This window comes from Homo sapiens, chromosome 5 (genome assembly GCF_000001405.40).
Source record: "Homo sapiens chromosome 5, GRCh38.p14 Primary Assembly".
Taxonomy (NCBI): Eukaryota; Metazoa; Chordata; class Mammalia; order Primates; family Hominidae; genus Homo; species Homo sapiens.
This window is the reverse complement of record NC_000005.10, coordinates 15,564,972-15,581,527: the sequence shown is the minus strand read 5'-3', so window position 1 is coordinate 15,581,527 and position 16,556 is coordinate 15,564,972. Positions and strand designations below refer to the sequence as shown.

Genomic DNA, 16,556 nt, shown 5'->3' with positions numbered 1-16,556 from the left:
TGACCCTAACGGCTGTTTTCTCTCTGAAAGGCAGCATGCTGAACACATCACAGAGGAAAAGTGGAGGGTCCCACTAGCCAACATTAGTAGCACTGTATGGCGGCAGCACCAGGCTAAGCAGGACTGGCCTGACTGTGGCACAGCCCGGGGGTGAGGGGTGGGGAGATGGAGGATGGGCGGTGGGCATCAGCCAGTGGTTATCTGAATTTAGTCTTTCATGCATTTTCAAGTTCCTGGGAAAGGGTTTAATTTGAAATAAGTTGATTTTTTTTAATGACATAATAAAGAATAGCCAATAAATCTGCCAGTAGGAGAATTGCTGATCTGATCATTAAAAATGATATTTGACATGCCTAATGTGGTACTCAGTAGGCTTCGAGGTAAAATGGATCAATATATTGAACTGGCTTCCAATATGACTTTTGTGAACTGTTCAAATATGATGCCCATTTAAGTGTGACCTCAATTATATGTAAGGAAGCAAGTGGGCTCCGCTCACCAGCTAGCAGCATCTGTCCCCAGGTACTGGAACCTATCAACCATGACTGGTGTTGGCGTAACTCCTAATCCCTGGATCTAGAGAGAGGCCTCTGCTGGGTCACCCGGCTAGCTAAGAGTGGATCACAGGATTCCAACCTTCTGTCTTCCATGCCCCTTCCAGCCATGCATCAACCAGTGTCGCTGGGATAGTCTCCAGGCCCATGACTCTGCTCACCTGGGCAACTGAGATAGACCATGAGCAGCCAGGACCCTTGACGGTCTGGAAACACACACCAGGAGGGAAGCTTGTGAGATCTTCAGGCTCACCACCTCCCTTCCTGTTCTGGCACCTTCAGCACTCCCGGACCCAGAGGTTAATTTTCATGTTGCCTTTGATATTTTCTCCCAGGCAAGCATGGCTTGTGGATCTGCCTGTTACAAAAGAAAGGAGTCAAATAGTGCAAGATTTGTTTAAAGACTAAAAGAGAGTGGCTTCTTGGTTTGCTTATCCAGGAACAGAGACTAAAACTCTGTTTTTAGGTAATTATAAACCAGTGTATGGCATATTGACCAAAGATGACCACACACGATCACATGGCCCCTAGACCTTGCCATGCCCCCATCCAGAGAGGGAGTCTGATTCTCCTCCCTGGATCCAGGCAGCCTCCTCACTCACTTCTAACTTGCCTCTTTATTTCACTTGGGCTATAACAAAATACCATAGACTGGGGGGCTTAAACAACAAACATTTATTTCTTGTAGTGCTGGAGGTTGGAAGTTAAAGATCAGGGTGCCAGTAGGGTTAGGTTCTTAGTGAGAGCCCTCCTCCTGGTTTACAGAGGCCCATCTTCTTGCTGTATCCTCACATGGCAGAGAGAGGGGAGCTCTGGTCTCCTCATAAGGACACTGATTCCATCATGGGGGCTACACTCGCATGAACTTTTTTAACGCTAATTACCTCCCAAAGACCCCACCTCCTATTATTATCCTCTTGGGGGTTAGAGCTTAAACACATGAATTGGGGGGACACAAACATTCAGTCTAGTGGAACCAATAAAATGCCCAGAAGTAACACTGCATGACCTCCCAGGCTGTCATAAAAGCCAATGCTGCTTCCCTGGAATAAGCAACTCTTGAAAGCTTCTCCTGCCATGTAAGCAGCTTGGCTGCCCTGAGACAGTAATTCTGTGAGGAAGCCCAAGTAGCCCATGCAGAAAGACCACACAGAGAGGCCTGACACCCTAGGAAGAGAGAGACAGGGAGGACAAAAGAGAGGGAAAGCTGGTCCTGTCCAGTTCTGCCATTCTCAGCTCCAGCCACTGACTGGCCCCAGATCCACTCCACCAAGACCTTCCCACATTCTTGACCCACAAGAACTGAAAGAGATCATAAAACAATGGCTGTTGCTTAAGTCACTAACTTTTAAGGTTGTCTGGAATGTGGCAAAAGTAACTAGAACATGCTGCCACACAATGATAAACAGACCAGAATCATCTTATTTGGAAAGATGATTTCTTGCACTTTTGTAAAGCAATATTGTTTAGTTGAGGGAAGCATCTGTGTTTCGTAACTTTCATTATTTCATCTCAGACATACTGATTTTCTGGATAAGGAATTATGGACTATATTCTAAAGCCACATACTCATGGACAAATTATGGCCTGTGGGAGAAGCAGCATCTGGCGTCCCAGGTCCCTCTAGGATGCCAATTATTCACAGAGCCCAACAGTAATACATTCAAATTCCCCTCCAGAAATCCACTTCCCACACTGTCTATGGCCAAAAACAGCCTGGGGGAGTAAGTCTTAAATGTGGTTACACATAAGCAAGAAGGTAGAAAACCTCTTCCTACGTGTTTCCATGAAGGTAAGAAACAGCACCGCTTTCCTCCCTTACCTTGTCAACCTCCCACCTGTGTTTAGGAACCTGTAAGTCTAAAGGCACTGAGTCCAAGAGATCTGGAAAGATGAAAGTTAAAGAACGTGACACTGTTAAATCTCACCCAAATAGCACATTAATATCCACTAAAAAGCAATGCAGGTTGGCAAAGGCTGTATATCTACATGTATCTATTTGATGGCAAACATGCAGGCTCACTTGGAATCCATGAAAGACTAAAACAGTCCAATAATTTATTTTTCATCAAAATGTTCCATGTCATGGATGACAAAACCATATATAAACACTTATCCAATCCAAAGATATTCCATCTCGAGTTAATTTAGCCACCAAACTTTTTTATTTTGGAGGGCTATGGGATGAGACAGGAGAAGTTTAACATTTTTATTTTGCAGAATTAGTACACCTGTGTTTGCTTCAGAATGGACTGGAATTGTGTCAACTTTCCTTTTAAACACATGGTGATTGGGCTATTTCCTGCTCAAGTTATGAAAGTGTTTTGGATCCCTTGTAGCATCACGGGGGGTCATGAAAATCTCATGAGGGATCCAATACTAAACACACTGGATGATGCAGACACTTAGTGCACTCACGTTCCAGAACCACACCTGAGGCCATATCTATGGGTTAGTGTGTTGAGACTTTCTCTAAGGAAATTCAGAAGTTTCAAAATCCACCAGTTTGATACAAAACCACAAGGCTTATCTGTCAGACTCCCAATGTCTTTTTGCTGTTTGGTGCCATGATACAAGCACCACTGTTTTTCTTTGAGATCATGTCTCTCTCTCTTGGGAGCGACATCCTAATTGTTGCCGAAAGGGGATTTTTTTTTCAATACATTGCTATGTCTCATCTCAAGAAATACATTCGTTATTTCAAAACATGAACTACATACTGTTCTCCACTCATCTCTTTTGTATAAGATTGTTTTTGGCAGAAAGTTGCAGAAATTTCTCTATTCTCCCAAGAATGTCTCTAGGCACTTTCCCAGTATAATAAAGAAGCATTTTATGTTATGGGTGATGGCCAGTTAACATCTATATTTCTGTGGACGAACTGCAGCCTTCCTATCAGCCAAGGGAAACACCTGCATAGCCCTGTGTTCCCGTGTTACATCCATGACCACACATCCCATAAACAAGGACCCAGAATCCAAAGAACAAAGCCCACAGGTGCTGCAGAAGAACAGCTCCATGTCAATCTGCAATATGCAACAATCTTTTCATAACAAACAAGATAACAAGGGTATAATTACAGGTAGGAAACATGGACATCAACCCCAATAACCTATGATTATTTTTATAATGTATGGGGTTTGGATGAAACATGACCACAGATTAAAGCAGGAAGGCAGAGTTCCTTGGAGACGGACAGTGGCAGACAAATACAATGGACTACATTTGCAAAATATTTATCCAGACCCTCTGGGTTCATTTTTCTTAACAACTTTAGAACACAAATTTGATCAAAAGGTATCTTTAGACCTCAAGGCCTCCTTAATCTATAAATAGACACACACACACACACACACACACACACACACACACACACACAAAATGCATTACATAGTAATGATTCATTATAGGAATCAGAACAAAAACAACTAGAATATATTTTAATTTACTTAAAAATGATTGTGTCCCCCAGAACATATCCCTTCCAGAAGCTGCAACGAACGATGATGCAATGCAGCTAGCTAAATAGAAAGCGGTCACTCTCTGTCACATAGACACTTTCCATAATTACCTGACTTCTCTGATAAGACAGTGGCACTCACAGGAAGCTCACACTCACATGGGGAAGAAAATAAATGCCCCCCTGCCCCTGGGGACAATAGAGGCCAATCTCTGAAGAACCCAGATACCATGGTGTAGATAATTAACGCCACGAGGACGTGGATGACATTGTCAGAGGCCACGCTGACCCAGAGTTCTCAGGAAGGGACACAGCTAGTCACCGGACCGTAAAGAGTGAACCACGCCTGTCAGAAGTCATTTCATGGTAGGCAGTTTAAAATGAAGCCAGGCTCCTAGGACGCATTGTTATCCAGGCTGCTTCTCAGAAGATTTCACATAAAATCTCAGGACACTGGAATCTTCATGTTTAATAAAGCCTTTATGGCAAAATAATTGATACTATTTTCTTTCAATTCAACTCAGCTTTTACTTTAAAAAAATTTTAATCTTTGCTATATTCACACCACTGTGTTAGGGAATGCCCAGGATACAAAGATGATCAGAAAATGCCTCCTCTCTTAGAGCAGCTACAAAATAATGGGAAAGACAGACAGATAAACAGATAATCAGAGTAGCAGAAAAATGGTGGATGACTGTTGTAATGAGATGTATAAACACCTGGGAATGATCATTCAAGCTAATGACCCAAACCTCAGGCGGCCAACTACCTCATCTAAACTTTATGGTTTCATCAAGTTATTAAGGACCAAAAAAAAAAATCAATCTTTTTAAAGGTATCTTCAATGTCAGTGATCCACACCAGCCATTAAGTTAAGCAAACCTTTAATATCCACTGCTTCTTTGCTTGGTGAATTTTGCCATATGCTGAGCAGTAACAACATAAATATTATTCTTACTTTCCAAAGATATAGCTTCTTGCTCATTAATAAACTCTAGCTACTTGAATATTATCATTCTACTACAAAACTTTTTTCAGATTCATAAGGCACCTCCCTTCATATTCTGGGAAAGTGCTTCAGGATAAACCCAGCCTAATGCTAAAATAGATACATTAAGAATGAGATTCTCAGCCAGGCACAGTGGCTCATGCCCGTAATCCCAGCAGTTTGGGAGGCCAAGGCGGGTGGATCACCTGAGGTCAGGAGTTTGAGATTAGCCAGACCAACATGGAGAAACCCCGCCTCTACTAAAACTACAAAAAATTAGCTGGGCATGGTGGCTCATGCCTGTAATCCCAGATACTCAGGAAGCTGAGGCAGGAGAATTGCTTGAACCCAGGAGGTGGAGGTTGCAGTGAGCCAAGATCACGCCATTGCACTCCAGCCTGGGCAACAAGAGCAAAACTCCATCTCAAAAAAAAAAAAAAAAAAAAAAAAAAAGAATGAGATTCTCTGGCAACCATTACTTTTGACATTATTTAATGAATCACTAAACTCACTTACCATTTACAAATATAAATCAAACACAAAAAAACACAGTGCAGACTAAAGCAGGGAATGGAGAATGTATTTTTGAAGGCCAGGAATGTCAATTGCCAATAATTTACCTCTATGTTGATAGGTTCCTTGTTCTTTGTGGAAACTAGTTATTTGCTCCTAGAACAGTGTACAATGAGACAGGCATATTGTGCTAAAACAAAAAGGAATAAGTAGCTACAGATTACACCATATTTCCCAATAGACATAAACACACACTTAATACATTTCATTCTGCTTATGTTATTGCATGCCAGTTTGAAAATAGTTGAAGTATAAGATGTAAGAAAAAGCTACAGTTGCCAACTGAAATGTTCTGCTAAGCAGTCCAAAAACCAAGCACAAAGAAACAAAAACATGTTTTAAAGTAAAGGAACACTCACTTATTATCACAGACTTATAATATGAAGCCACCAGAATGGGAACATCTAATCTAAAATAAAATGGCCATCCATTTATGCCTCTAACACAACAGAACTCAAAGGGATCTGTCTTTTCTGATCACTAAAAACAGAAAGCTATTATAACCAAAAACAACCAAGAAAACACTCTTGTTTGTGTGATTTTCAATTCCCTGTTGCGCTCGTCAAAGAATCAAACTCTAGATCTGTTTCACATTTACAGGAAAAAAACAAAGCAAGCAAACACAAATGATAAAAGTAAATAAATAAGTCCACAAAAAGAGACAAGTTTATATGAAAACACATCTCCATGGCAGAATAAGTTAAAGACAAACCTGGACTACTCTGTAATTCAGGTTGAAAGAAACAAAATGTGATTTCTTGGAGCTAGCTTTTTCTGATCCAGGGACTCCCAGCTGTAACATTTCAGACCGGATGATTCTTTGTTGTGGATGCTGTCCTGTGTATTTTAGGATGTTTAACATCATCCCTGACTTCTACTCACTAGATGCCAGATGCCAGCAGCACTCCCCACTTTTTCTCCCACAATTGTGAAAACAAAAAATGTCTCCGGATAACCAGATGTCCCCTGGGAGGCAAAACTGCACTGGTTGAGAACTAATGCCAAGAATCGAAAATGACTACAAAGATTTCAAGTCAGAATGGCTAAGAGATATGAGCAACTAGTTGAGGACCCATCCTGCTTCCAATAGATCAATTTCATTTTTATGTTGTTTTCTTACTTTCCATAATTCCAATTCCTACATCAACAAGCACTAGTATTTCATTTAAAGCAAATGACCTAAGGTTGGTAGCTACCAGAACGCTCCAGCCCAAAGCCCAAGGGTAATACTCAATACAGGCTTACAAGCACCTCACACGGGCAGGCTTACTCTCTCACTCTCTCCATTACATATTAAATACCAGCATAGAGTGAAATGTTACCTTGAAGCAAACAGAGCTATATTCATGTATAAATGTCCAGTATACCCATGAATAACGAAGCTACTGGCTTATTTCAGTTCTTCACTGTTTATGAATGTTTAAAAATGGTTTATTTTTAGTCTTAATCTAATTTCAATAGTGCAGAAATATTTGCACCTACTATCTGTAAATTTCTACATAAAATAATGAAGTACATATCCAAAGTCTGCTAGGATTTGCATTTATTTCATCCTAAAAAATATCTTTCTCTTACACTGAATATTAGGTTGAACCCGAGTTATTTTATAGAACCTGGTAAATTATTGCTTAATAAGCATTTCTATTGTTAAAGCATATTTTATCTATCTGCACTTTTACAGTGGAGGCATTAAAGTTTATTTTTAAGTCAAAACTGTTATATGATAAACCATTCTGGAGATGGCAGAGTTTATTCATTCATAAAGTATTTCTGAATTTTAGAAAACATATATTATTACAGATTTTGCACCTGTAAGAGCTGCTGGATATTTGTAATGGCTTTGAATTAATAATAATGACAGGTATAGACAATAGAAAGCTACCAAAGGACTTCTGGGAAAATGAATTCCACTCAGAAGTCTTAAAGAGTTAAGTAAGAAGAACTTAGGGGTTTTGTTCTGGCTCAGCAATATACTGAATGTAAGAACAATGCTCAGTTCTATATATCAGCTTTATGTTTATATGACTCAGAAGTTTCCAGCTATTACCTTTTTTGTTTTCAGTGGGGTTGCTGACGGAAGTGGTACAGATGTTCATTAACAATCATCTACATTTATGATAGTACAAGTCAAGGACCTCGTGATAAACTATTAATTTGTACCGATGACCTCACATTCATGCTCTGCAGAGATCCAAGGCACACTGACATTACTCCTGAGTACTGATTGGCTGAAGCAGAGTATCTGATTAAGTGACCCGAGCATTCCCTAACAACAGAAACTATCTGCTTGACATTGGCAGAAGTCACTGCTTAACAAGAACATCTTTTTTCCTGAGGAAGACAAAGAAAATTCCAAACTGTGACTTCTACACTGCCTTCCTTTGTAAAACTGAGTGATGCCTCCCATAAAAATCCCTTCTTCGGCCAACATCACCATCATTAAAAAGACTTGTTATAGCTTCCCCCTTCTTTTATTTTACCAAACTAAACCTATCATTTCCTTTTGATTCAAAAGTTCACTAAAAAAGGGAAAAATCTATTTTTTTGAGCTGGTTTGACCATCTTATTGGCAAGATTCTTTGAAACTTTGTGCTGTAATATTCCTTGCCTCCTCCTCTCTCTAGTTCTCTAAACAGGAATGCACATGCTTTTGTAGACACTCTACATTCTCCTGAGACTCAAAGACATGGAAGGCTCAGCATCTCTCAGTGCAACTGCACCAGCATTTATTGAGCTGCTTACTGGGCCGCAGAATTAAAAATAAATAACATTTGTACTGTCTCCCTTTGAAGATTTTAGTCTATTATGGATGACAAACACCTGCAGTAAACAAAAAAGTGAAATCACAGAGATGTGTCCAGATACTGCAGGACACAATTTTGGGGGAAGGGGAGGTGATTAACCTTGCCTGATGAGTTTGGGATCTGGCAGGGCTTCTCTAAAATCCAGAGTGAGACATATTCCCTGAAAACCTTCCTGATTCTCCTCCCAACAAAGAAAAATTCTACGCTTACAGGGGTAAACCTGGTTCAACATAAATCAAGAGAGGTCTTCCTTTAACTGTGGAAAAGCAGTCACAAAGGGTGAGGTATATATACTGGTATCTTGGGGGTGTATGGGGCAGTGGGAGAGTTTGTGGTTTACGCTGCTTGGACAAGGGCATGAAGGGAGAAGACAGACTATAGGTTGCAGCCTCCAGGTCCTCTTCCTAATCCTTCTTTAAGCAACCTGCTTTCTGAGTCAATGTTCCACAATAGAAAACCAGCATGACATGGGCCCATCTCCACCCCATCAAAGCCCAGAACTGGAGCCATGGCTCTAAATTCCCACATGGAGGCACACACAGGCCCTTACGCCTGCTGGTCCACAATCTAGACACAACCTGCTTTTTCAAAGTCAAAGATGACAGGAGCTGCTGGTGAGCAGCCTCAGCTTGATATTTCAGTGGAGGAGTTAGGTGGGTTGCTGCACATTTGAGGGCAGTACACCTTTCGGCCAGTGGAACACATCTGTAAAGTATGTGACAAGAACCCTGAACAAGATTTTTTTTTTTTTTTTTTTTTTTAGCAGAAACCAGATGGATGTTTCTGCTAAAGCTCCTCCATACCTGAGCATGATTTATCCTTGCATGTAACATTTTAAACCACCAAAAGACTTTGCAATTACAAATCATTTCCATTTTCCCTCTCTGACTTTATCCTTATAATTTTCTAGAGCAAGTATCATTATTTCAACTCTGAAAAATAAAAACTAAGCCTCAGGAAGATTAAATGACTATGCCAAATATACTCAGATAGTAAATGTTCATGGCTTTTGGATAGACCCAGGAGCTCTGATACCCAAAGTCAAAAACCTGGTGACTTACAGACATTTTTGGTTAAGCCCAGTGGATGTCTTTTACAAAATTAAATATTTAAAGGTTAGATATTTCACATATGAATACAGATTAATAGACCTGCTTGAAAAATCGGAACCTGGAAGCTCTGATAATTCTGGGCTAATTCTGTGTGTTCATAACCGGGTAAGAGATGGGGCATGTGTGGGCTAGTTTGCCACAGTCTGAACCACCCCACCACTACCCCAGATGATGCACGCAGTCACTTTATCTGCCCTCCCTGAGGGCACTGGCATCTGCGACGGCACGGCTGAACCCTTCTGCAATGGGAGCAAGCACCATGGAGAAGGCACATGTCCACCAGTGACTGACAATACCTCACCCAAAAGCCTCCAAGCACTCTTCCCTTATGGCATTGAGGTGGACCCAGGGCAACTCCAGACCCACCCACAGCAACTCTGTCGAAATGTCATCTGCTTAACAATGCCAGGCTACCAACTCATATGAATTTAAACAGTGATTTAAATTCATTAAACAGTGATATTTTCTTGGGAAAATATTTCCCAAGAAAATGTCTCTCACCTGGTCAAATCATTTTAGTTTACACATTTGTAAAGAGGAAAAGCCACTGGGTTCAAATCACTTTCTCTAACCCTATTTCCACCTGACTATCTTAAAGCAAACACCTTCATCTTTTCACATCCTACATCTCTTCATTTTCCCAGGACCCTGGAGGGTCAAGGTTTAGAAGTTTTTGGAGATTCCCAACAAAAGCCCCTTTCATTGTTGCTAGTATAATTTTAAAGGAAGGATGACTAACTGAGGCCATTTATCACAGTTTCTATACTGCTAGTGAGGCGGCATTGTTTAGAAAAGAAAAAAAGTTAGAGGCCATTGACTTAAGTGGCAGAGTCAAACTCATGGTTAGGTCTTATGATTTCAGAATCCACTTGTAGAACAAGGATGTTTAGCTGCTCAAACATTGACATTTTAAAGTTTCTTTTTTCTTTTTTTTTTTTTTTTTTAAAGACAGAATCTTGCTCTGTTGCCCAGGCTGGAGTGCAATGGCATGATCTCAGCTCACTGCAAACTCTGCCTCCCAGGTTCAAACAATTCTCCTGCCTCAGCCTCCGGAGTAGCTGGGATTACAGGCATGTGCCACCACACCCTGCTAATTTTGTATTTTTAGTAGAGATGGGGTTTCTCCATGTTGGTCAGCCTGGTCTCGAACTCCCGACCTCAGGTGATCTGCCTGCCCTGGCCTCCCAAAGTGCTGGGATTACAGGCATGAGACACAGTTTCAATTCATAAAAATTAAAGCACAGTTATAAACCAGAAGAGGAACCAGCACACACAGTTCAGTCAGCTGAGGGGCAACTGGTCTCCCAAGTCCAGGCCGAGCCGTGTGTGGAGCTGCAGGAAACCACCCTGGAAGGTACTTCTGTTAATGCTGGCACACACACGGGCTGCTACAGGATGAGGTGGCTCAGGTCTGTACCTTGCATAGAGCTGAACAGTCACAGACCCTGGCCACCTCCTTTATCTTAGACTTGCTCGTTGTATATTCAGCAGAAAAGCACAATTCTAACAATAAGAAGAAAGAGACAGCAAGACTAATAAAGAAGAAAAGGAAGAAAAGAGAGAAGAATCAAATAGACGCAATAAAAAGTGATAAAGGGGATATCACCACTGACCCCACAGAAATACAAACTACGATCAGAGAATACTATAAACACCTCTATGCAAATAAACTAGAAAATCTAGAAGAAATGGATAAATTCCTCGACAAATACACCCTCCCAAGACTAAACCAGGAAGAAGCTGAATCTCTGAATAGACCAATAACAGGCTCTGAAATTGAGGCAAGAATTAATAGCTTACCAACCAAAAAAAGTCCAGGACCAGATGGATTCACAGCCGAATTCTACCAGAGGTACAAGGAGGAGCTGGTACCATTCCTTCTGAAACTATTCCAGTCAATAGAAAAAGAGGGAATCCTCCCTAACTCATTTTATGAGGCCAGCACCATCCTGATACCAAAGCCTGGCAGAGACACAACAAAAAAAGAGAATTTTAGACCAATATCCCTGATGAACATTGATGCAAAAATCCTCAATAAAATACTGGCAAACCGAATCCAGCAGCACATCAAAAAACTTATCCACCATGATCAAGTGGGCTTCATCCCTGGGATGCAAGGCTGGTTCAACATATGCAAATCAATAAATGTAGTCCAGCATACAAACAGAACCAACGACAAAAACCATACGATTATCTCAATAGATGCAGAAAAGGCCTTTGAAAAAATTCAACAACGCTTCATGCTAAAAACTCTCAATAAATTAGGTATTGATGGGACATATCTAAAATAAAAAGAGCTATCTATGACAAACCCACAACCAATATCATACTGAATGGACAAAAACTGGAAGCATTCCCTTTGAAAACTGGCACAAGACAGGGATGCCCTCTCTCACCACTCCTATTCAACATAGTGTTGGAAGTTCTGGCCAGGGCAATTAGGCAGGAGAAGGAAATAAAGGGTATTCAATTAGGAAAAGAGGAAGTCAAATTGTCCCTGTTTGCAGATGACATGATTGTATATCTAGAAAACCCCATCGTCTCAGCCCAAAATCTCCTTAAGCTGATAGGCAACTTCAGCAAAGTCTCAGGATACAAAATCAATGTGCAAAAATCACAAGCATTCTTATACACCAATAACAGACAAACAGAGAGCCAAATCATGAGTGAACTCCCATTCACAATTGCTTCAAAGAGAATAAAATACCTAGGAATCCAACTTACAAGGGATGTGAAGGACCTCTTCAAGGAGAACTACAAACCACTGCTCAAGGAAATAAAAGAGGATACAAACAAATGGAAGAACATTCCATGCTCATAGGTAGGAAGAATCAATATTGTGAAAATGGCCATACTGCCCAAAGTAATTTATAGATTCAATGCCATCCCCATCAAGCTACCAATGACTTTCTTCACAGAATTAGAAAAAACTACTTTAAAGTTTATATGGAATCAAAAAAGAGCCTGCATTGCCAAGTCAATCCTAAGCCAAAAGAACAAAGCTGGAGGCATCACGCTACCTGACTTCAAACTATACTACAAGGCTATAGTAACAAAAACAGCAGGGTACTGGTACCAAAACAGAGATATAGACCAATGGAACAGAACAGAGCCCTCAGAAATAATGCCACATATCAACAACCATCTGATCTTTGACAAACCTGAGAAAAACAAGAAATGGGGAAAGGATTCCCTATTTAATAAATGGTGCTGGGAAAACTGGCTAGCCATATGTAGAAAACTGAAACTGGATCCCTTCCTTACACCTTATACAAAAATTAATTCAAGATGGATTAAAGACTTAAATGTTAGACCTGAAACCATAAAAACCCTAGAAGAAAACCTAGGCAATACCATTCAGGACATAGGCATGGGCAAGGACTTCATGTCTAAAACACCAAAAGCAATGGCAACAAAAGCCAAAATTGACAAATGGGATCTAATTAAACTAAAGAGCTTCTGCACAGCAAAAGAAACTACCATCAGAGTGAACAGGCAACCTACAAAATGGGAGAAAATTTTTGCAATCTACTCATCTGACAAAGGGCTAATATCCAGAATCTACAATGAACTCAAACAAATTTACAAGAAAAAAAAACCCCATCAAAAAGTGGGCAAAGGATATGAACAGACACTTCTCAAAAGAAGACATTTATGCAGCCAAAAGACACATGAAAAAATGCTCATCATCACTGGCCAGAGAAATGCAAATCAAAACCACTATGAGATATCATCTCACACCAGTTAGAATGGCGATCATTAAAAAGTCAGGAAACAACAGGTGCTGGAGAGGATGTGGAGAAATAGGAACACTTTTACACTGTTGGTGGGACTGTAAACTAGTTCAACCATTGTGGAAGTCAGTGTGGCGATTCCTCAGGGATCTAGAACTAGAAATACCATTTGACCCAGCAATCCCATTACTGGGTATATACCCAAAGGATTATAAATCATGCTGCTATAAAGACACATGCACACATATGTTTATTGTGGCACTATTCACAATAGCAAAGACTTGGAACCAACCCAAATGTCCAACAATGATAGACTGGATTAAGAAAATGTGGCACATATACACCATGGAATACTATGCAGCCATAAAAAATGATGAGTATATGTCTTTTGTAGGGACATGGATGAAGCTGGAAACCATCATTCCCAGCAAACTATCGCAAGGACAAAAAACCAAACACTGTATGTTCTCACTCATAGGTGGGAACTGAACAATGAGAACACATGGACACAGGAAGGGGAACATCACACACCAGGGCCTGTTGTGGGGTGGGGTGAGGGGGGAGGGATAGCATTAGGAGATATACCTAATGTTAAATGATGAGTTAATGGGTGCAGCACACCAACATGGCACATGTATACGTATGTAACTAACCCACACGTTGTCCACATGTACCCTAAAACTTAAAGTATAATAAAAAATATATATATATAAAAAAAAGAAGAAAGAGACAGACTTAAGGGCAAAAGGTTCTCAGTGAAAATTATCTAGATTCCCAAGTAACGGTCACTGAATGCTGATGTGCAAGCAGACACCCACTCTTCCAATTATTAATTCAACTCACACTGTTTCACTGTGAAGAAGAATAAAGGGAGAGAAACGCAAAATTTCAAAAATATTTAATATTCTACTTTACAGCTTGGAAGAAAAAACAAATATCTTTTTATATTGCTAAAATTTATGACCTAAGTAGAAATCTAGAAGTACAGCTGTCATTAATTATCTGTAAAATCATAGCATAGGATTGGAAGGGAAGTTAATGAGTACTAAAATAACTCCCTTCATCTTACACATCAGGAAACAGGGGCCAGGAAAATTAGGTGGTTTGCCCAAATATGAATGAAATATGTCTAAAAACATCTTTTGGTCTATAGGAAAAAAACTCCAGCAAATGATGCTGATGAGCTGCTAGAAGAGTTAAAATTCAGGATGTTGTTGCCCTCCTGGTGCAACAGGTCCAGAATTGTTATGAGTGTGGTAAGATCATATGAAGCAGATGAGCAGTAGTAGATGCACATCCCTTTGACAAAAGTGATTGTTCTCTCAGATCCCCCATTGAAAGAATCCTGTGTGACTCACTGTCTAACTGGGAGGAATAAATAGCTCTGCAATAAACCTTCACTGACAATCTTTCTACAGGTACAAATGCAACATTTTATTTCAAAAGTGATTTGCAAGTCCCCAACAGGAAGGCAAGTCACCATAAATAGGTCCAGAAAGGCATTAAATACAATGTAGGACCCTGCATTTCACACAACTCAGGTTAAGAAGTCTGTGCCATCTGAATCTTTCAAAGGTTGCAGAAAAGTAATCATTTGCTTTTCCAAATGCTTTTAGTATTATTTATTCATTTGCGATAAAATATGCTTCTCAAAAAGTTGCTTCTTGTATGAAATGTGTAATTTATGATGTTGGAAATGGAGTTTAGGCCCCAAAATTCATTTTCGCATTAAAAAAGACAAGGTCCTTTTCTCCCAGTGTCTGCTCTGAGTCATGTCCCCTGCAATCACGCCTAGCTCAGTGCACTGCACATGGTAGTTACTCAAGTTGACTGAACTGAATTAAATGCTTTACAGACATCCTTGGGGAAAATTAATCAACTATTGTTTGGTATTCTTAAGTTGGTTTGCCTAAATAAAACAGAAGAAGACAGCGCTTCTCTGCCAACTCAACTTATAATTGAAAGGCAGGTTGTCCAGTTTTACTACTTAAGCTCCAATAAAAAAGGCAGCGGAGCACAGGCCGGGGAAAGCCCACTCAATTTCAGTCCTATGCCCATCCAAATTGTCTTTCAAGACAATAGCAAGCTTGAACCCCACCCTCTTCTCTCTCTAAAACCTAAAAGTGTCTAATCTCTAAAGCATTTTCCTCCATCTTTTATCTATTTTCAATACAGGACATAGAAGAGATGTGAATTTTCCAAGACAGACTCCTGTAAATGTCATTAATCTCCTGCCATCTATATTTTATTCTTCCTATCCTTAAAAAAAAAGGAAAGTTTTACACGTGTGATGATTCATTTTATGTCACATGTTGGGCCATGGAGTGCCCTGAGGTTTGGTCAGACATTATATGGATGTTCCTGTGAGGATGTTTTTGGATAAGATTCACATTTGAATCAGTAGACTGAGTAAAGTAGATTGTCCTCCCTCATATGGGTCACCCTCATCCAATTAGTTGAAGGCCGGAATAGAAGAAAAAGACTGAGCTTCCTGTTAGTAAAAGAAACTCCTCTTGCTTGACTATCTGAAACTGAGACACCAGTTCTTTCATGCCTTCACACTTGAACTGAAACATTGGCTTTTCCTGGGTCTCAAGCCTGTTGGCCTTTCAACTAAAACTACCAGCTCTCCCGGGTTTCAGGCTTGCTGACTGTAGATATTGGGACTTAGCCTCCATAATTGTGCAATATATATACATATATATAGAGAGAGAGCAAGATTTATTGTAAGAAGTTGGCACAATTATTAATTTATATATATAAAGATTATAATTAAGAATAAATATATAGAGGATTATATATATCCTAGTTTTATTATATATTATTTTATAGACATACATCTCCTATTGGTTCTGTTTCTCCAGAGAACCTGACTAATACAACATGACCTAGAGGGTCTCTAACAAAGACCCCATTTTCTCTTTACTCCTTTAACAAATACTTAGAACCCAACCATGAGTTAGTTTGGCTGAATGAGGATGAAGGTTTCCGTTCATTTGAGTATTTCCTTTCCTCACATTTTTACTGTAAAAACATGGTGTTATGTTAGAAACAGTCTAGATTTCAATGGATATTTTCTTCATGGAGACTTGACAAACTTTTTTTAAGCACAAGCTAATCATATTTTTATGGCATGGAAAAATTGTATCAGCAAGACAGGAAAATGCAGCCAACTGCCATTCATTTTAGTGGGAATGATCATATGCCTTTTTCTTTCTAAAACAGGAAAATCTACTTTTATTACTATTATTTTAATAGCAGCATATTGAAAACACCTATAAATGTTTGGTTTTATTTACTATTCTAAAACCTTATCTTTATATTAAAAAAA

The 16,556-nt window shown here is 39.8% G+C and overlaps 1 protein-coding gene across 3 annotated transcripts in view; it reads right to left on the bottom strand.

Moving 5' to 3' along the window:
* Positions 1-16,556, bottom strand: part of FBXL7 (F-box and leucine rich repeat protein 7) — a 439,614-nt gene that overhangs the window by 358,266 nt on the left and 64,792 nt on the right. Inside the window, exon 1 of one of the 3 annotated variants that reach the window (XM_017009262.3) lies at positions 716-16,017. The exons of the other annotated variants lie outside the window; for them this stretch is intronic. Coding sequence (XP_016864751.1) covers positions 716-737 — 22 coding nt within the window. The 5' untranslated portion in view covers positions 738-16,017. Of the gene's footprint in view, positions 1-715; positions 16,018-16,556 lie in introns of those variants that run through there. 3 annotated transcript variants of the gene reach the window in all.